Below are 21,634 nucleotides of genomic sequence, written 5' to 3' on the forward strand. Positions count from 1 at the left end.
CCAGGACTCCTGAGTATACCAAAATCTGCACATACTCAAGTCCTGCACTTCCCTGAGGAACCTGTGTGTATGAAAAGTTGGCCCTCTGTATACATGGGTTTTGCATCCTGCAAATACTGTATTTTTGACCCACAGTTGGTTAAAAACAATCCGTGTAGAAGTGAACCTGTGTAGTTCCAATCTTTGTTGTTCAAGGGTCAACTGTATGAGGCTACAGATGGCCCCTGCCCTCCTGCAGCTCACAGTCAGGTGGGAAATATGGTGAGGTAAATGTGTAATGTCAGTGTGTGCTGACACCTGCTGTGAGGAGAGCAGTACATTGCACTGTGGGAAGAGTAGGAGGTGGCATCTAGTGTGACTTGGGGAAGCTTTCAGAAAGGCCTCCTACTCTGAGATGTGAGGAATGAGTAAGGGTTGGTGGTAACAGGGAGTGGGGGAGGGGAAGCGTGATGTGGGCTGCAGGGGCAAACTAGTTTGGTAAGGGGCCAAGTGGTAGGCATTTGGGTTTGGGGCGGCCTTGGTCTCCTGCTCCAGCTCCCCCATGCCGTTGTAGTGTGAAGGTCGCGGTGGCCATCGGTGAAGTGTGGCCGGGTTCCAATAACTCCTTATTTACGGATACAGAAAATTTCCCCTGATTTCCATGCATCATGAATAGTATTCTTCTTTTGATGTTTTTCAACCATTTAAAAAGGTAAAATTCATTCCTAGCTTGTAGGCCTTACAAAAACCAGAGGGTTAGGGATCCAGACTTGGCGTGTGGGAGGTAGTGTGCCGCCTGTTAGTCCAGGCACAAGGGACAGCCTGTTCAAAGGTTGAGGCGGGAGAAGCACACAGGGGCTTCTCTGAGAACCTCTTCTTAGGGGTCTCCTTGCCTCCAGGGTTTCCCTCCTCCAGTCTGCCCTGCTTGGAATCCCTGGATACATGCCTTGGGCTGTCTCTTTCATTATTGCCGTGCCTCTCTGGAAAATCTTCCGTGATTCTCCATGAAGGTATTCAGGGTCCTCCCCTCATCTTCTGCTTTGTTTGCCTCAGCCTCCTTTCATGAAGATTTGGGAAAAATCCTGCTCCACTGACAGGAATCTAGTATTTTAGATACGATTGGAGGTGCTGTAAACACTTCAGGGTTTTCTAGGCCACTGCTCATTCCTATGTATGCACACATAGTTTGCTTTCATTCTGAACTTTTTGTATATTTCCTGGAAAAGTTACTTTGGGATTAATTTACATATAAAAGTCCTATATTTTCATCTTATTTTTATCCTGCCACTTCAGGTATAGGGAAATAAATGAAAAAGTCTTCAAATGTTGACTTCTAAGGCTTTATTACCTCAGACAGCTTCATTAGGTTTGTGGAAATCTAGTGTGCTTTGAAGGAATTAATCTAGCCTTACTTGCAATCTGTATGTGTTTACATAGAATGAACAAACATTGCATTACGTTTCATGAAAATTCAATTATTCTTGTCTCCAGGAAACATGTTCTGCTTAGTATTTAATTCTCAAGTATGTCAAGGTGATGGTTCTTGAACTGTCGTAAGAATTGGGGAGCTGGGGCTCACTGCTCATTTCCATAATCAATGGAGAAATAGCCAGTGGAGACTTTTTAATCACTAAGGTCCTCATGTAACCCATGTCTGAGGTTACAGGGGACATTGGGGACATCAGTCTCAGTGGCATAAGGCTAATATAAAATCCTCTCTAGATTTTTGTTAGAATGAAGAGAAGTAACATTAAGGATGATACTCTACATAATTAATACTTTCTTTTGGAGTTTATTATGCATATGTATGGTTTATTCAGCAGGCATTTTTTGAGATTCTATTGTTAACGAGGTACAGCAAGAGATGGAAAGGTAACAATCAGCTGGTATTAGTGTCTGTTGTGATTGGTTGGACCCTATTTAACTGGCAAGGATCAGTTTAAATGCTTTTATTCTTGAAACATTCCTTGCAAAGTCCGACAACTCATTTCCCACTGTATTGTTACTACAGTGAAGTGATTTTTTGGAAACACCTATCACATATCATCACCATGTCTTTTATAGTTACACGATAGTTAACTAAACTTATCCTTTTCTTCCACAAGAGTCTAACCTCCTTGAAGGTAGGACCATGCTTAATTCCTACTGGTTAGTGGCTGCAGTATTATACTGAAGAAACGGTAAGTCCGGTTTCAGCAGGCCGAGATGTGGAGGAGACGGTTTGGGGTCCAGAGTGGCCTAAGGGAATTATTTGAATCAGGCCAAGAGCATGAGTTTACTTCGAGTCTTTGAGGAGTGAGGTGTAGATGGGTGTAGCACAGTACTAGGAGTTGAGAATGGATCAGAAATGTAGCTTGGGGGCTACACCAGGACGCACAGAGGCCATACTTAAGGGTTTGGAATGGGGCACCATTGAAAGTTTCTAAACAGAAATCACGTGGTGAGGTCCACATGGCCTTTTGGGGCCTTCCTGCCCTGGCCTTTGCCTGCCTCCTCGCTTTCTCTCCCACTCTTGCCCGTGGGTACTCCATGCTCCAAGGAACTGTTGAATGTGCCATGCACACTCTGTTCAGCATTTCCCAAAGGGACCCTGGGCAGTCCTCATGCTCATTTTTCAAACCATGCCATGGTTTGCACTGTTCACTAGCTGTTTGAGGGAAGAGGTCGGGTCTGTTTATTTCTTTGCCACCAGGGCTTCACGCACACCTAACCTTTAGTGGGTACTTAGTAGATATTTATTGAATGTTTGGATGGGTGAATGCATTTTGGCACAAAACCTTCACTTCTGGACTGGAAGATAGATTGGATGGAGCAGAGACGGGAGGCAGTGAGACCAAGTGGAGCATCATACCTGGAAGAGAAACATTGAGCCTGTGAATTACAGCTATAGCAGTAGAAATTCAAGGGGGGAAATAGATTCTGGAGACCTGGGCAAGTAGAACTGACGGGACCCAGAGATCAGCGGATAAAATGGATGCTGTGAAGGGCTAAGGGAAGTGGAAAGGTTGAAGACAGGCACCTGAAGCCCACCTAATCATATCACTAGATGTTTTGCAGGGTGTGCGGTGGGCAAAAGTAGGGGTACGGGATGGGAGTGGAAACCGTTCTGTGTAGGTCCGTTTGAGAATCAGCTTAACTGAGGATTAATTGCCTTGGTTTGGAAAACTCCACTACTGAAGTTTGCACAACATAGTAAATTGTGGAGGACTAAAGCATCCTTCGCTTAACTATTCAATTTATTTACAAATTTAACTGCAACATCGTTCTGTAAAGGATATGAGATAGTGACATCTGTAGATACAGATATATCTGGAGAAAACAAAAACCAAGGGGCAAAAGGTAAAGGGAAAATAAGAATATGAAAATAACAAAGCTAGGGTAAGTTTGCACGAAGAAATATACATTTCTCTCAGTTGCCACAAAAAAGCATAGATTTGGATTTCAGCTGCCTAGTGGTAAAAGGAAGGAGGGAAACATAATTAATTAATACTATCTACAGTGTCTGCAAGATAAAAACGTGCTCATCCTTTTTCAGAGAAAGCACAATATTCTTGACCGAGAAAACTGAGAAAAAATTTCCCCTCATCTATGAGGCGGAATGTGTTCCAAACAGTTGAATTTCAAAATGAGCTTTCTGACATTCCTTAGTCTCTTCTTACTAGTATAATAGGATTTGATTTGCTCTGTTTAACATATGATGAAGTTAATTGTGAAAGATCTCTAGAATCCAAATCTGCAAATTATTTCCAAAACCCTGTTTTTTATCTTTTACACCAGTCGTTCTACTGGTGAGTCAATACTTGCAGCTCCTGTGTGTGTGGCAGGTTGCCAGGTGCCCCAGATGGTACCAAGGTATGTAGGAATTTTTGAAGGAGCTCACAGTGCCAGTGGGTAGTCTAGGCATAAACACATGGAAAGTATGTTAAATGCAGGAGTTGAATAATGAGGAACCGTACGGGAGAGCCCACGAAGCCGTGCCTGATTTACTGCTGTGCACCTGCTTAGACATCAGGTGGGGTCTGTGAATTCAAAAGATGACAAGACCAGTGTGGGCTGGAGGAGCCGAGGGAGGTTTAACAAGGAGGGATGCTTTTACTTTTAATAATAGCATCAATATTATTATTATTATTGTTTAGCTTATACACTAAATTAAAAAATTGATTATTTTGACAAATCTTGAATTTTAGTACAATCTTTAGAAACATCATGTCCCTGGTTTGTTTGTTTTTTTCAAAGCAGTATGCCTAGTACTTTTATCAGTGCCATTTGGGGTTACTAAGTTCTCCCTCCATTTTTTTTTTTTTAGACCCATGGACATGCCTTTCTGCTGTCACTTGTGAATGCTGTCAAATAATCCTTACATCCTAATTTACATTTGCTTATTTCAAACTGTTTGTACTGTTCTGAAAATATCAACACTTGTTTTTTTAAAATTTATTTATTTATTTATTTAGAGATGGAGTCTCACTCTGTCGCCCAGGCTGGAGTGCAGTGGCGTGATCTCGGCTCACTGCAACCTCCACCTCCCAGGTTCAAGCGATTCTCCTGCCTCAGCCTCCCCCCGAGTAGCTGGGATTACAGGTGCATGCTACCATGCCCGGCTAATTTTTTGTATTTTTAGTAGATATGGGGTTTCACCGTGTTAGCCAGGATGGTCTCAATCTCCTGACCTTGTGACCCACCCACCTCAGCCTCTCAAAGTGCTGGGATTGCAGGCGTGAGCCACTGAGCCTGGCCTTGTTTTTTAAGGAATAATCTTTTAACAGTTAACTCTCGGTCCCGATAATCTCCGTATAATCTTTGGATTCTCATTGCTCTGAGGGTAAAGGTCCAAATCTGTAGTGAATGTGTCCTCCAAGGCAATGCCTACTCTGCTTTGCTCTGACCAGCTCTCTGGCCATGCGGACCCGCCTTCACCGTCATTCCAGCTGAGCAAGCCTTTCGGTTCTCCCTTCCTTTGCTGGGACTGCCTGGGCACATCTGATGACCCTGTGACCCACTCCAGTAGCACCTGCATGTCTTGTTCACAGCAGGCATCACCACTGTAGTAAACCAATTGTGATTATGTCTTTATTTAATGTCATTGATTCTAGCTTCCCCTTCCCAAGACTGCAAGTGCCCTGAGGACAAGGACCTTGTTGGTCATAGACTGCTGACCCACCAGCATCTAGCACGATACCTGGCACAGAGCGGGTGGTCACGTGTACTTGTTTTTGATGTCATTGTGAGGAGATTTCCTTTTCCGGTTTTCATTCAAAACCGTCTTGGTTATTGCTTATTTGTTTCTTACCCTGCAGATGGTTACCAAGCAGCTTTTTGATTTTTAAATCTTTGCAGAAGATTCCAAAAAGCCCCTCCAAAGATGACACAAGCCTCTATTTTATTGCCTTTCAAAATATATACACTTTTATTGCCAAGGGAAAATTTTTGAAGCTTGGGTATGTGTTAGTCTCCAGGGAAGCAGCAGGGACGGCCAGATTGTGAGAGTGTTAGTGGAGTAATGTCTGATGTAGTTTACTGAGCAATTTCAAAGCAGAGTAATGGAGGTAATCTCAGAAATTCTAAGCAGCAGCGTTGTAAATGCACAGAGAGAGAGTGTTGCTTTCATTTCATTGACCTGAAATCAGCTTGTTTCCCCCATCCTACTTCTAATTTGTTTTTATTACCTTAATATCCTGTGTCATGGAGGTTCTAAACATCTTTAGAATAAAATTCTTTGGAGATCTATAAACTGCTGCTTTCTAATTTCATTGCTCTTAATTATAGGTCATTGAAAATGCAAAAAACAGAAGTAATGTAGGATAGTAGAAAGAGCTTTATACTCAGCATCGGAGGCCTGGACAATAGTTTTTTAACTAACTGATTACTGTCTGGCTGACTGTTTGCCCTAGAGGAATCCTTTGACATCTCTGAGCCTCAGTTTCTCATCTATAAAAGGAAGCTATTAGAAATGGTATTTAAGATTATTTATTATCTCAGTTTATACTCCCTCCATGCATCAAGCTTCATTTGTTCACTTAACAAACAAGGCTGGGCGCGGTAGCTTATGCCTGTAATCCCAGCACTTTGAGAGGCCAAGTCAAGCAAATTGCTTGAGCCCAGGAGTACAAGACCAGCCAGGGAAACGTGGTGAAACCCTGTCTCTCCAAAATTACAAAAATTAGCCAGGCACATTAGCGTGCATCTGTAGTCCAGCTACTTGGAGGGCTGAGGCAGGAGGATTGCTTGAGCCTGGAGGTCGAGGCTGCAGTGAGCTGTGATTGTGCCACTGCATTCCAGCCTGGGTGACAGAGCAAGACCCTGTCTCAAAAAAAAACAAAAAGCAAAAAATAAACAAATATTTATTGTATGCCTACTATGTGCCAGGTACTCTCCCAGGTGCTTGAGATACAGCAGAGTACAAACAAAGCCGTGTTCTTGTCCTCCTACAGCTTGCATTCACGCAGCATTTGAAGGGCTTACTATTTAGTCCCAATTTATGAAAGGTTCTGTGTGATTAAAGGCTGTGGCTGGAGAATATGTTGAATAAAGAGATGGGCAGGGTTGGCCAGGCACGGTGGCTCACGCCTGTAATCCCAACACTTTGGGAGGCCGAGGCAGGCGGATCACGAGGTCAGGAGTTCGAGGCCAGCCTGGCCAACATGGTGAAACCCCACCTCTACTAAAAGCACAAAAAATTAACCAGGCTTGGTGGTGCGTGCCTGTAAGCTCAGCCTCATGAGGCTGAGGCAGGAGAATTGCTTGAACCTGGGAGGCGGAGGTTGCAGTGAGCCGAGATGGCATTATTGCACTCCAGCCTGGGCAACACAGCGAGACTCCATCTCAAAAAAAAAAAAAAAAAAGAGATGGGCAGGGTCATTAGCAGGCAGGATTGAAAAGATTGGAAAGTGAGGCTCCATCTTACCTTGGCTGGTGAAAATGGCTCCCTCAGGGCATTGCTCATGACCCCCAAACCGTCCACAGAAGGAAAGGATATTCCTGTCCCTAGCCCTGTCCAGCTACCAAAACAACAGCAGGGAAAGGGAGGCCGAGGGTAGCCCACTTACCTCGCCTTGGTAAGGGTCTCCCCTGCTGTTGGATTTAGCTTCCAGTTGTGTCATTTCAAATGCCCGTGATCCTCTACTGTGTGCAAGACAAAAGTACGAATACTTGCTTGTCCAGCCAGGCCCCGAGCCACCCTCCTCCCTTTCCCCTACATATGTCCACGTCAGTGGGCAAGCTGGCAGCCCGGTGTCTCCAGCACATGGGGTGCACCCTGTCTCATCTGCAGGCCATTGTGTGTGTGTTCACAGTTCAGAAGCTGACTCACTATCTCTGCCTGCCAACATCCTCCACCACACCCACCTCCCACCCCTATGGTCAGGGGGCATGGGTATTGAATGGCAGTGCCATCAGAGCTTGCCAGCACCCTGTCACCCAATTCTCGGCCACTGGGATCAGAGATTATTTCTTCCTCCCTGAATCTCTCAGTCCCTGCTGCACCATCCACAGCTGCGGGGGAAGGGCTGGCCGACGTTTTTGATCTTGTTTTCCGTGCCTATCACAATGCCTGTCACATACCAGATCCCCTGAAATTGTTTGTTGAGCAGACTGTTATCATAATCTCCTGTGATATTTACCACATTTTACCTTTTGACATGGTTATTTGAGAATATTTTTAAACTTTCTAGGTCTGAGCTCTTTGATAGCAGGGCCTGTGTTTTATTTATTTTTTAATCTCCTAAAGCACCTGGTTCTTGGACTCCATGAATATTTAATAGCCTGAAATAAACAGAATTTAATTCCTGGATAGTTGAATTTGAGAGGTGGAAATAAACATAGGGTTTTTATTTCTGTTTCTCTCAGGGGAAACTGAGTCAAAGAAAAATAAGTAACTCACAAGCTGATGTGTCAACCAAGGCTATAAATCCAGGGAGAAATTCAGCAATAGAAGAGCATTGTAATATTAGAAAGCTTCCAGATCTCCCCACTCAGGAGTATTTCCTACCTGTAACACACAGATCCGTCGTACAAATTATGCTTTGTTTGCTGAAAAGCCTCCTGAAGCTGAATGGGTTTACTTTGGCATCAGCGGAGGCCATGATTGAGGGCGGAGATGAGACATTGGATCGCTCTTGTGTGGCTTCCGCATGGCCGTCGTGGTTCCTCTGCCCAGCCCTCTCCTGCGAGGGACTCGATCAGCTCCAGGGCGCAGCTTGTGTGTCTGCTCCCATGGCCAAGTCCCCTTGGCTCCCTTCCCCTTGGCTCTGGTTTGGCTTGACTCTGCCTTCTGCTCCTCAGGTCTGTCTAGGTTTAGTCCTGTGTAATCATTTGCAGCAAAGCCTGCCCATGACTGGAAATGCAGTCCTGGCTTGGCAGGAAAGGGGTTTGTGCAAGAGCTGGCTGTACCTGTGTCTGAAACACCTGAGGCCCTTCCAGGGCTAGGGATGCAAGAAGCCTAGGCTGGCAAAGCTGGCCTTCCTGCCAGGGCTGAGGAGCACTGGAGCCCTAGAAGGGGACTGCTGTCCAGCCCCTTGGCCAGCCAGAGCAAGGGCCACTGTAGTCAAACATGAATTCACAAATGGGAAGAGCAGGAGGTGACTCAGATCCACCTCCCCCATAACTGCTAATCATAGTGAATTATTAAGAGCATAAAATCAGGATCTTGTTTCCCACATAGAGATCAGGCCCATCAGCCCTGAGCAGTTATATAATCCACCTCATACACGTGGATAATATTGAGACTGGCACTTCCAAGCAGAAGCCTGCTAAATAAGGACATGTTTGTTGTTTCTTCTACCTCATCAAAATGTCTGTTTCTTATTCCTAAGAATGGCAGGGAGTAAAGGATTATTTATTTCCCTTGATATTTTTCATTTCAAGAATCAACATGGGCAGGTTTACAGTGTTCACAAACATGCTGGTAGCAATTTGATTGCAGGAAGAATGAAATTTTGCCAGGCAAGTGCAGATTTGTCTGTTGTGGTGAGAAGGGCCATCCATGACTGTACAAATGGTGCCATTCTACCCTGAAGATACATTTTAACAAGGATGGTGGTAGTAGTTTTTATTCTTTTGTTCTCTCAGATGCATTCCATTAAAATTAAAGCATGAAATATATTAATTTGATGAAATGGATTTGTTTCCACTTGATGTGTTGCTTTGTGAAACGTTAACATTGTCTCTTAATGTTCAACAGAACTGATGACACTGGTCCATGTGGCCAGCATGGAGGGAAACATGATTCCTCTGAGAGCAGTCTAATAATCCGTGTCTTGGACCTGCATTACTTCTAAGAAAAACAAATTAGTTTAACATATTTCTAGAAATGGAAACTCTTGGATACATCAGAAACAAATTTGAATTTAGGCAATCTAATTAACCTTTAGCTAAAAATGTTGGTATTTTCACAACTCTTTTGGACAGAGTTCGTTGTTAGTGGTTGCTTCAAACTTTTTTTCCAGATCTTTTATCTCTAAAAAGCAATTTATGATTTTTTTTTTGACCCTAGTATACTGGGATGTCTTTTCGATTTGATTTTCTTATATTATTCTGGCTCCACTTTTGTGGGAACTTCTTTCCTTTCCTCTTTTGTGCTGTTGGCTCAGTGACCCAGCCACCTTTGTGGGCGGTGGTGGAATGTGCTCCGGTTGCCTGCTGCCCATGTCGGTGTGCCCAGAGCGGGAGGGACATCATTTTGACCACAGCACTTTGGCCTTAGAATGATGCAGAGACTCCATGTCACTGCCTGTTCCTCTTGCTTTACTCTTTTTAAAAAAAGACTTCTATTCTTTCCATTAAAGTTTACTCCCTTTCTAGCTTAAGGAGTCAAATCATTCTGCAAAGTTTAGTGCCAAGCCCCAGCAGTCTCCTGTATGCCTTTCCCTTTTCCCCACCTCCCTCCACCTTCCTATTTCTTCCTCCTTAGAGGCTGCCAGTTTCAACTGTTTGACATCTGAGTCTTTGGAATCATTCTCTGTATCTCTAAGTAACATGTTCGTATTGCTGCTCCTTGATTTCTTTCCGCTTTAAATATTCTCCTTTGACCATGCAACGTGAAATATGAGGACTTAGCCATGTCTTCCCTACCCTAACACCAAACCAACCAAAAGGCAGCCTTTTCATTCATCTAACTTCTCTGCAGTTAGAGCGTGTTTTGGGATAGATCGGTGCTCTGCATTAGGTTATTTTGACTGATGCTATCCACAGGTAAAATATTTAGTAAACTGTAATTACCTTTTCTCTTTCACATAACTTTTTCTTCAGTCTTTTTTTGTCTGCTTAGTTTTCTGTATGCTTTTCAATAATGCAAACACATACTCTCTGCAAATTGCCTGAACTGACTCTCAATACATTCACATACATCGCTCTTTTTGTTTGATCTTTTGGAGATGTCTGTCCCAGAGCCTCTGACCTGCCCCTGCCTAGGCAGGCTGTTCTTTTATCGTATAGGTATACTGCTTCCTGTGTCTTCCTGTGTATTATGTTTTTCAGGCGTTCAGTTGGAGGGCCAGAAACCACACTAGCTATTTTAAACAGAAAGAGACTTAAAACAGATATTAGGTGCTTTCTAAATTATTGGAAGGGCTGGAGGAGTGGGCTTGAGACTAGGTTTCCAGCAATGCTCCAGAACCACACAGCTGCCCTGGCCTGCCAGGGGTGTTGCTTTATCTGCCACTTTGGGATGGGAGGGAGTCAGGAGGCCGCCTCTGTGACTATTCACTTCAAGAACATTCTGCTGTAGCTGCAGTCCAAGGATCAGAACCTTACATTGCAGCTACTGCCTCTTGATACCCATGAAGCTGGTGACTGACTGCTGGAGTACTTATAGAACAATCCAGTAGCCCTCTACATGCCGACCAGGAGAACGAGCCAAGCTGCAGAATGATGGCCTCCACCTTCACTTCTCAAGTCTTACTTGAGTACATCTAATTGGAGAAACCTAATTTACTCAAGGAACTCAGTTGTCAGGAAGGCCAGGAAATGTGGTGTTTAGCTTTGTGGATTCTGTAGTACAGAAAGGCAGATGGGAGTGGAAATGAATGCTGAGTGCCATTCCACCATACACACCACACCAGGGCTGTGTGTGTGTGTGTGTGTTTGTGTATGTGTGTGTGTTTATGGGCTTGTTTTGATGGACTGCAGACATTTTAAAGTCTTTTTTTTTTTTTGAGTCACGGTATCACTCTGTCATTTAAGTTGGAGTGCAGTGGCATGATCTCAGCTCACTGGAACCTTTGCCTCCCAGGCTCAAGCAGTCCTCCCACCTCAGCCTCCCGAGTAGCTGGTACTACCGGCATGCACCATCACGCCTGGCTAATTTTTTGTATTTTTAATAGAGACAAAGTTTCACTACATTGCCTAGGCTGGTCTTGAACACCGGAGCTCAGGTGATCCACCCACCTTGGCCTCCCAAAGTGCGGAGATTACAGGCATGAGCCACCACGCCTGGCCCAGATATTTTAATTTCTGATCATTTATTTGTAGCCAGTTTTTCTCCCTGGGACTTAACATTTTTTTAATAGCTTATTGAGGAAAACTTTAGGTAATTATTCAAGGATTATTTAGTAAATTTATAGAGTTTTCCAGCCACCATCACAATCAACCCCAAAAAGTTTCCTCATGCCCATGTGCAGCCAGTCCTGACTCTCTGCCAGCCCCAGGCAGCCACCTGTTCTACTTCCTTTTTTTGAGAGGGGGGTCTCACTGCTGTTGCCCAGACAGGAGTGCAGTGGTGCGATCCACTATTCTACTTTCTATAGATTTGTCTTTTCTTGACATTTTTGGTAAATGGAATCATACAATATGTAGTCTTTGGCATGTGGCTTTTTTCACTTAGCACAGTGTTTTGCGGTTCATCCTATTAGCATGTCTCAGTAGTTTGTTCTTTACTATTGTTGAATAGTATTGTACACATTTTATTTATCTATTTACCAGTCAGTGGGCGTTTAGATCCTTTACAGTTTTTGTCTGTAATGAATAAAGATGCTATAAACAGTCACATACAGGTCTTTATGTGGCCATATGATTTCATTTCTTTGGGGTAGGCACCCAGGAGTAGAATTGCTGGGTTGTATGGTAAGCTTATGATTGACTTTTAAAGAAACTGCTGAACTTTTTCTAAAGTGACCGTACATGAGCAATACATGAGGGTTCTAGTTTCTCTACATCTTCACCAACACTTTGTATTATCTGACTTTTTGAAAATAGGCATCCCAGTGAGTTTGTATCTCGTTAGTTTTACTTTACATTTTCCTCTTGAATAATCATGTTAAGCATCTTTTCATATGCTTAGTAGCCATTTGTATATATTTTCTGATTAAATACCTATTCAAATATTGCGCCCATTTTTAATTGGATTATTTGTCTTATTATTCAGTTGTAAGAGTTCTTTATATATTCTAGATATAAGATCTTTATTATATGTATGATTGCTTATATTTTCTTCTAGTCTGTGGCTTGTCTTTTTATTTTCTTAGTGGTATCTTTTGAAATTTTAAATTTTAATGAAATCTAATTCATCCATTTTTTTAATGGATTATGATTTTTGTGTTGTACCTAAGAACTATTTGACTAACCCAAGTCACATAGATTCTCCCATATATTTTCTTCTAGAAGTTTATTATTTTATCTCCTGCATTGTGCTATATTTTCCATTTTGATTTAAATTTTGTGTGTGACATAAGGAAATGTTCTAAATTCATCTTTTTGAATGTGTATATCCATTTGTTTAGAACCATTTGTTGAGAAAATTAGTCCTTCCCCATTGAATTGCCTTGGTATCTTTGTTGAAAATCTGTATATAGAACTGTGCAGTCTTGACTATTGAAGCTTTAGAATCTATTTAAAATTGGTTAGTGTTAAGTTCTCAAACTGTTCTTCTTTCAAAATTCTTTTGGCTATTCTACTGCCTTTGTATTAGAATACCAATTTTGTCAATCTCACAAAAATGTCTGTTGGAATTTTGATAGGAATTTCATCGAATCTTTAGATCATTTAGAGAAAATCGCCATCTCAATAGTATTGAGTTAGGATGGAATTTATATTTATATCAGAGCTTGGCAAACTTTTTTCTGAAAGGGCTAGGTAGTGAAGAATTATTTTTGTAAGCCCTGCAGTCTCTGCCACAGCTATTCAACTCGGCTATTGTGGTGAGAAAGTAGTGTGGACAATGGGCTGTGTTCCAGTAACTATTTACGAAAGCTGGAGGCCGGACCCTGGGCCTCTGACTTGATCATCTTTAATTCCTTTCAGCAGTGTTTTATAGTTTTTAGAGTACAAGTCTTGCACTTCTTTAATGAAATTTATTTCTAAGTATTTTATTCTTCTTAACGATATTGTGAATGGGATTGCTTTTTAAATTTCATTTTCAGATTGTTTATTCCTAGTACATATAAATATGATTGATTTTCATATGACGATCTTGTATCTTGTGGCCTTGCTAAAGTTGTTTATTAGTTCTAGAAGGCTTTCAGGAACCTTTCCTTTGTCCTTGTGCGTTCTGAAACCTCACATTGTGTACCTTGGTGTGGATCTACTTTCATCCATTGCATGGGCTGACTTTCTTGTCATCTGTAAAAAAACTAACAGTAAAATTCCTTTCTTGAGTTTAGGGCATTTGTTTTGTGGCCTCGTCTTTGTAAGGAAGGAGAAAGAGCATTGTTATGTTATTATACCTGTATTGAAACTATCATAGGAAAAATTTTCAACAATAATAGGTGTGTTAAAACTTTAATAATACAAATTATCTGTGGATTTCATTTCTTATGCCTGTGGCATAAATATATCAACAGCATTATGAGCAGATTTGTTTTCTTAAAAAAAAAAAAGTGGGATTAAAGCACATAGCACATGTCATTTTTCTGTTGCCCTGTGCATGAAAATTGCTTGGTGGATTCTGCATAGTGAGTCCCTTAACAGCATGTTTCAACCCTGCATTTCTTTCATTTTCCTTCTGGTTTACATTACTGATTTCCTCTCTCCCCTTCTCCCAGTAATAGCCAGCTGGGAAAGGCCTTGTTAAAGTGAAGGAATGGAAGAGTCTTTAGTAAGGTAATGTAGTCGTGCTAATAACTTCAGGCACAGCAGGTTTCATAAGGGGTTGTTCTAGTGTCGGGATTCATGGCAGGTGCTGTGGAGTAAACCACGATTCAACCTCTGGACTTAAGTATGTACATTTGGTTGCACTTCTCCATCTTATTTTTTTATTAACCAGTTTATTCATTTCTAAGCAGCATTTATTGAACACCTGCTGTGTGCTGTTTCCTAGAAATGCAAAGGAAAGTTAGTCCCTGTTAAGGGGCCAGCATTACATTTTGGATAGACAGAAATAGTTTCTTATGTTGCCACCCAGCTGAGCTTGAGGAACAGGCTGCGACTCGGCAGAGCAGCTGGTTTGATCAGCAGCTGGTTCCACCATATGTGCAGGCTTCACACTCCCACAATGGACAGTCCTGACCTGGACTGGCCCTCAGGCCAGTGTCCTCCAAGTCCATCAGAGCATTCTGGGTGGAGTCATTGGGAATCTTGGGCTGTCTTCTAGCTTATTCCAGGTCTTCCTCACTATTGGGGATATGTTAGGGGAGAAAGAGCTGCTGCCCGAGTCAGGCCTTGCTGAACCTATAAGATTGCTTTGTCACTTTTTCCCTTCTCTGTTTCGAATGCTCTCCTTACCTTTACTCAATTGCCAGGAATGAGAACATTCCTTAGTAGTGTTTAGGTTTTCCTCAACCTATTAGATACCTATTTTCCTCTTTCATTTATAAGCTCGTATAGTACTGGGACCACATACAGTATTTTCCTATAACTGTGAAATCAGCAGCAGACCAGCATTCCGTACATTTTTATAATACATGAAAATTTTTCAAACCACAAACCAGAGAAAAGTATCTCTTACAGGGTTAAAGAAAGAAAGAAAGAAAGAAATTGGCCTCCTTGGAGAGGTCAACAATTTATTAATGAAATCACATCTTAACATGAAAATAACAAAATGAACATCTTTCTACAAAGAGGATGAATTATCTTTTTCAGTGTCCTTGAAGAGAACAACTAGAGGAGTCGTGCGGGCTGCAGCATGGGGGCCTTAGATAAGATATAAGGAAGACCCTCTAGCTGGTGGAGAGTGCGGAAGCTTGAACTGAGTTATGAAGAGTATGTTAGAGTTTTGAAATTTACTGAGTAGATTTTCATTTCTTGGAGGCATTTTAAATACAGTCCTCTTGAAAGGAATAGATATGTGGAACATCCTTGGAAAAGTCCATTTTAATCTCAAGTACTAGTCAAATCTATTTAAAAGCAAAAAGAGGAGAAAAAAATCTGCTTTTAATAGTTAATTTTTGTGTAGTTGTATTAGGATGCAAACTGAACTTGTGCTCTTCATCTTCAGCAACTGTCTGTTAAGCCTACATCATTTGAAAAAGTAAAAACAGAATTCTGAGAGCACGGTTAGCAAGGTGGTTGGTTGGTGATGTGCATACTTTTTATTTGTTTCTTCATTTTATGTTAATACTAGTTTAAAGTTAACTTAGTCCGGGCACTATACTAGTCTTACTTGCGTATTATAATTTACTTGCTATTTTGCTCATTGGCTTCTAACTAAAACTAGACCAGCTCAGCACCTTGCTTCAGACTATATCTCCAATCGATTTTCTGTTCTGACTTTTTAAAGACCCCCTGGTCTTTCCATTTATCTGTTTCATCCCCATTAACACTGATGGACACACCTCTAATTCTCAACCCAGTGTTACCTTCTATAGCCATGTCTCTCTAAGTACTCCTGTGAAAACCAGTCCTATAACCTTTGGTATTTGTCAGAAATTATTTGATAAGCACTAGGAGATATCTTTTTTTCTTTCAATAAATGGAGGCATTAAAAGTCCATTCATTGGAAGTTTTTTTTTTAATGTAAGCATCATTAGCTTTTTTTATTTATTTAATTTGAACTTATATAACATAAAGACCTCTTCATAGCCATACTTTTTTTGAAAAAAAGAATTTTTTTTCAAAAATAGTTTATCAACCTCTGTCTGGATTCTTCCCATGTCTATAATGCTTCCACTGTAGGAGAATCAATTTTATCCTTATTTTTAACATACCTCAATAACTCTGTGGTGTGTGGCCCTTAGCAGGACAGACCTGCCTCTTTTTTCTGATCTTTGCAGACTTCTGAAGCTCATTTCTTACACACAACACCTGTGTAGTTCTTTCTTTTCAACGGCGATGGGTAATGCGTAGCTCTCTGAATGCTCCTTCTCTCTTTGCCTTGGTAACTTTACACATGCCACTCCTGGCTGTAGTGCCTTCCCCATTCCCTTAATTTCTACTCATCCTTGAAGATTTAATTTGCTTCTCATCTGCAAAGTCTTCACAGATCCTGCCTCTGCCCCTCCTTTTCCATTCCTATCCCCAACTCCAGGCCAACATGAAACCTTTATTTGTATTTCTGAAATGCTCTGTGTACCTCTCTCCGGTGCCATTGTCATGCCTGTGTCATTTCTTGGTCTCCTTCCTGTTGCCCCCACTAGATGCTGAGCTCCTTAAAGGCAAGAGCCATGTCTTAGTCAGCTCTATATTCCCAGGCTTAGCTCTGAAAACATAATAAATGTTTAGTGGAAGAAGATAAGGAAATATGTTGTATACCTCATTGGAAGTTTTGTTTGTTTGTTATTCCCTAGGCTTGTTTCAGTTTCACATCAACCCAGAGGATATGAGACTTCATAATGGTCCTGATGGCACCCAGCCATCCACTGAGAGCTCATTCTCAGGCATGCTGGCAAAGTGACTCAGTGATTTTCAAACCTGGGGAGCTGGATAAAAATGCCTGTTTCCTTCCAGAGAGTCGAATGCAAGGCTGTGTGTGGTGCCTGGGATCTGTAGACTGAAGCAGCACCCCTGGTGATTCTGGTGCAGGAAGTTGTTACCCACCTCTGAGAAGCACTGAGTTGGGAATGGAGCCCATTTGGAGTCAGCAGCCCATGCTGGCTCTTCTATGGATTCCTTGAACCCATGAGCACATGGGCACCTCGGCCTTATGCTGCAGTGACTTCTCTCTTTACTAGCACAGCCTGTGCAGGAATGATAAGAGGCACATATTCTTCAGTTCGTGCAACAGATGTCCTCCTGAGACATTGAATACAAATTAAAGTTTTATAGATGGACCATGGGATACCAGCAGTGAATTATTCTGTAAGTTGAATAGTCACTTCCCGATTTATTGGTTGTTGAGCCCTCCATTTTTAAGAATTAGTTTGTTTAAATTAGATTAAATGTTTCTATCTGTGGTTTACATTTTTTGACTGTATGAATTTAATAATTTATTTTTTATTTTTATTTATTTATTTATTGCCACAGGTGGTTACCCATTCTTAACCAATCCTTAAATGGGCATTTTAAGGTTTCAGTAACAACATTTTACTGCAGTTGGAGAATGACTTTCAAAGCTTCAGAAGCCCTAATCTAGGGGCCATTTCATTTCTAAGGAGGTTCATGATCATTGCCCAAGTAATTTCTCATTGTAATATCTAGAGTCCTACAAGCTTATGAGCTAACAACATTTGCCCATGAGGTTTTAGATGCTGAAATAAGATACAATAGGTCTGAAATGTTAATAAAATATTCTTCAGTGATCTCCTTTCTTAGTCAACGTTGCTATATCCTCTTCCTGTGTCAACTCCTCAGAATGTGGGCTTTCCATACTGACAGTACCCCCACCATGCTACATGTTATAGGTGAACAATCTAATTTTTTCCAGTAGCTTCCACTCTCTTCTGTGGATAAATGTTAGTTTGATGATGATAATGATAGTCATAAGTTTTATTATCATCATTACTGTTCTTATTCTTCTTCTCTGGACCTCTGTGTTTCCTATCAGTAAAATAAATGTGGTCAGACCAAAAGATGATTTCTAAGATGACTTATGCCTTACCATTTTATGGTTCTATGATTCTAGATATACATTTTGATGATTATAGATGCTCATTACCTTAAGAAAGTTATCAGAAGGGAATGATGAACTATGTTTCAAAACATTTATTTTCTTAATAACATGGCTAACTTCAGAATGTCATTAAATAGAATATATATTGGTGCAACGTTTATTATTCATTTTCCTGACTGAGAGGCTGAGGCCAGTAGTAAAAACTTATAGCCACCAAATATCAGAGTTGGAAGGGACCTGAGAGAGCATCTTGTCTGTCCCTGCTTTCAGAAAGTGGTGATATTCTCAACCCAAGAGTTATGGTGACATGTTATATACATCAAGATAAACTCTTTTAAGAGCTTCAGTGTCATGGAAACTCTTTGTGTCAGCAACATCAAAGCCCATGATTTTCTAAGTGGCATTTCTCATTCTACGATGCACTGCAAAATAATATTGCCAAACCGTGAAAGATTACACATCTGTAGTACCAGGGTTAGCTCAAGATTTCAGAGCATGCCAATTAGATATTTTTTCCCTTGGCTGGTAAAAGTAAAAAAAAAAAAAAGAAAGAAAAAAAGTTAGCCATATAATGAAAGAAAAGGAGAATTTGTGTGACGGTGATGTTGTATCTTATTACAATAATTGAATTCCCTTTAATATTTTCATCAAGTGCTTCATATTTAGGGAAAGAATTATTTAAGGATAATCCATAATATTATAGAAAGAATACTTATGTTTTAAAATATAATTCGACCAGAAATCTTTGAATCTGTTTCAAAGAGGGCCATTTCATTCATAAAAGGTAATGACACTATTCTAATGCCAGTGTTTGATTGTTCATTTTTTTCCTGTGTCTGCAGAATGGATTACAGATTCCTTGCATAATCAGCAATCCATTTTGTTTTCTAACAATTAGCCGGTTATTCATACTTTCACAAGAATGCGATGCTAGCATGCTGTGGTCTGTTTCTGATCTTACACAGGAAAATGACAGTGAGATAAGAGTAGAAAGATGATTTCATTTGTCTTTACAGGGTAATGTATGGGAGATGTTCCTGGATAGTCATATCCTTTTGGAATGATGAAGTTTAAGGATTTCCGTATCTGGAATTTGTATCCATATAACACAGATGTGTATATGACTTGGCATACCATAACTCCCTTTTCCAGCTGTTATGTGACGGGTAAATTTTGAAAATGTATCTTCCTGCCAATCTCAGTTTACCGGATTCTGGTCATTTCAAGCCTGATGAGATTTGGGTTCTTGAAAAGGGCTCGAGACTGACATGAATCCCTTACACAGATGTCTTCACAGAAACCAGTGTTTAGCCATTGCCACTTCCAGCGACTGTTTCTTGGGACCACTTGGTGGCAGGCCCACAGTCAGCCTCCCAGCTCGCACTTCCTGCTGTTTTCCCTCATGCAGCTATCATCACTCACCACTTGCTTGGTCCACCGAGGTTCCTGTCCTGTGCGTTGCTGCACTGCCTTGACCCCACTCGGTTCTCACTACCTCACAGCAGAACCGGCCTGTCTCCCATTGTGCGGAGCCCCGCCCCACACTTCATATCCCTGCTGTGTGTCCTTCAGCGGGTGACAGTAGCTAATCCCTCCGCTGGATACCTTCTTGATTTTCTCTCTAAACAGCTGCAGAGAGCTGAGAAAACTCCTTCTCCCACTGCAGCATGTCATGATCCAGTACTTAGCTGTTAGTTGCCACCCCAGCAAGTCTCAGACCCTCTGCCAGGCTCTGGAATTTAGTTGTGTAGAATGTTCTGTACACTGCCCTCGGCATCTCTTAAAGGAACTGGGTTTCTGTCAGTCAGGATGACTCGCTTCAAGTGTCAATGGATAATGTCTCATGAAAAAATTAAAGGCGATGGAAAAATATGCGGTCATTGCTTCTAAAAAGATAAGGTTTGGATTTGGAGTAGGAAATATATAAGAATGAACAGAGCTTTTACAACTTTTCTTTTTCCTTTAAGGGAGCTAGATTTCTAATCAGTGTTTTTCAATATAGTTTAATGGCTTACTTTGTGGGTTTAGGATTTTGAGGTTCTGCATCTGAATTCTAGTTTTGTCATTTGTCATTTGTGTGCCCTTACACAAGATACTTACCTCTCTGAGTCTCATTCTTCTCATCTCAAAAATAGGAATAATACTGGTACTGACCTTGAAGAGTTGTAAAAATTAAAAAGTGATGGATGCAGAGCACTTAGAATAGTTTCTGACACAATAAAACTTCAATGAGTAGTAGACTTCATTATTATCTATTTTATTATTAATATTATTGTTCACAACACCATTCCAAAAGGAGTTAATTTTTGATAAAGAAGCAGAATTTCTTTAATACAGTTGGCCCTCCATACCTGCAGGTTCTGCATCCGCAGACTCAACCAAGTGTGGATCAAAAATATTCAGGAAAAAAAATGCAAGTAAAAAACAATACAGTATAGCAACTATTTACATAGCATTTACATGGTATTATGTTTTATAAGTAGACGTAGAGATGATTTAAAGTGTACAAGAGAATGCGCATAGATTATATGCAAATACTATGCCATTTTATATGAGGGACTTGAGCATCTTCAGGTTTTGGTATTTGCAGGGTGTCCTGGAACCAGTCCCCTGCAGATATTGAGGGATGACTATACACTACCCAATTTCAGCTCTACACCAAACTCGTATTTCCAGATGTATACATGTTAAGTATCATCATTACATAATGGAAAAAAGAATAAGAGTAATATTCAGATCATTTTATTTTCTCCTCTGTAATTTTTTATTAGAATAACTAGTAACTATATGTAAGGCTCAAAGTGGATTTGTTCCGTATAGTTTGTGTAGTTCTGTATAGCGCATGGGACTGGGTTTGTTGCTACTAAACTGAAAAACAAAGTTGGAATCTAAGTCCTGTGTTTATTAAAAATTCCAAGAAAAACAAGGCTTTCTTTTTCATCTAACTTTTCTAGAAAATAGACAAATCAATGAGATCCTATAAGTATCATTGTCCTGGAAGAAGGTGAGTGGAAAGTAAAGAGACTCAATTTTTTTATCTTTTTAATATGTGTTCATGATACAAAATTGAGCACTCTGAATTTTCGCAGACCTTTCTCCCTTTGCTGTATTAACCTCAAGTACCTTTGAATAGTCTTGGTACAGGTATATTCTATTTATAACAGCCAGTCTATTATCTGGTTCTCTTCCTCTTCCTGTGTTCCTTTCTTCCTGCTCTTACTGATCAGAAAAGGCTTTCTAAGCTAGAGTGTGAGAGTTACATGTTAACAATAAGTGAACCCCACTGAGGGGTTTCAGCCACTGAGAGACTGACCCAGAAGCAGCAGTAGAGGGCGCTCGGCCCCTCATTTCATAATAGTGGAGCCTGCACCAAACGTCTTTCATTTGAGGAGCTAAAAATGAATTGCACGTATTAATTAAGTCTTGCCGAGGCCTTGTTAGTGATCCGGTGCTAAGCGCCTAAAATAAGTAGATCTTATTTTAATCTTGGGGAAACTGGGTATAAGAGGGAATTTCCTGAGACTCCATAGCAAGAGTCAGAATTTCAGCAAAAACCCAGGAATCCTTCTCTTACCTTTTCTTGCTCTGGCTAATATCCCAACTAGCCCTTCATTTACGAAGAACCAAAGGGAAACTCCAGGACTTTTAATTTCCTCTTGAATAATTCCTTTAATGAAGGACATATGAGATTTTTGCTTGAAGTAAATGTTACCAGCAACACTGTACCACCTATTTTAAAAT

At 40.9% G+C, this 21,634-nt stretch overlaps 1 protein-coding gene and 1 long non-coding RNA gene across 22 annotated transcripts in view, besides 1 other annotated feature; one reads left to right on the forward strand and one right to left on the reverse strand.

The window, feature by feature from the left end:
• FARS2 (phenylalanyl-tRNA synthetase 2, mitochondrial) overlaps window positions 1–21,634 on the forward strand; it is a 521,650-nt gene that overhangs the window by 199,994 nt on the left and 300,022 nt on the right. For 3 of the 19 annotated variants that reach the window (XR_007059197.1, XR_007059196.1, XR_926027.4), the window contains one exon: window positions 16,632–17,142. The exons of the other annotated variants lie outside the window; for them this stretch is intronic. The gene's annotated coding sequence lies outside the window, so the exon portion shown is untranslated. The remainder of the gene's footprint in view (window positions 1–16,631; window positions 17,143–21,634) is intronic. 19 annotated transcript variants of the gene reach the window in all.
• FARS2-AS1 (FARS2 antisense RNA 1) lies at window positions 2,541–8,148 on the reverse strand. 3 transcript variants are annotated; one of them, NR_125847.1, is made up of 3 exons: window positions 7,967–8,148; window positions 7,026–7,098; window positions 2,541–2,830 (listed from the first exon to the last, which is right to left on the reverse strand). It is a non-coding gene; the product is annotated as an FARS2 antisense RNA 1 (long non-coding RNA). The 3 variants fall into 3 exon arrangements; NR_125846.1 differs by having other exon boundaries at window positions 7,026–7,101; NR_125848.1 differs by lacking the exon at window positions 7,026–7,098.
• Window positions 6,786–7,772: an enhancer, noted in NCBI's record as "H3K4me1 hESC enhancer chr6:5456946-5457932 (GRCh37/hg19 assembly coordinates)". NCBI's record gives its function as "activates a minimal SCP1, AML or CMV promoter by ChIP-STARR-seq in primed H9 embryonic stem cells {active_cell/tissue: H9 hESC(primed)}" and the evidence as "EXISTENCE:reporter gene assay evidence [ECO:0000049][PMID:30033119]".

Source organism: Homo sapiens, chromosome 6 (assembly GCF_000001405.40).
Source record: "Homo sapiens chromosome 6, GRCh38.p14 Primary Assembly".
Classification (NCBI taxonomy): domain Eukaryota; kingdom Metazoa; phylum Chordata; class Mammalia; order Primates; family Hominidae; genus Homo; species Homo sapiens.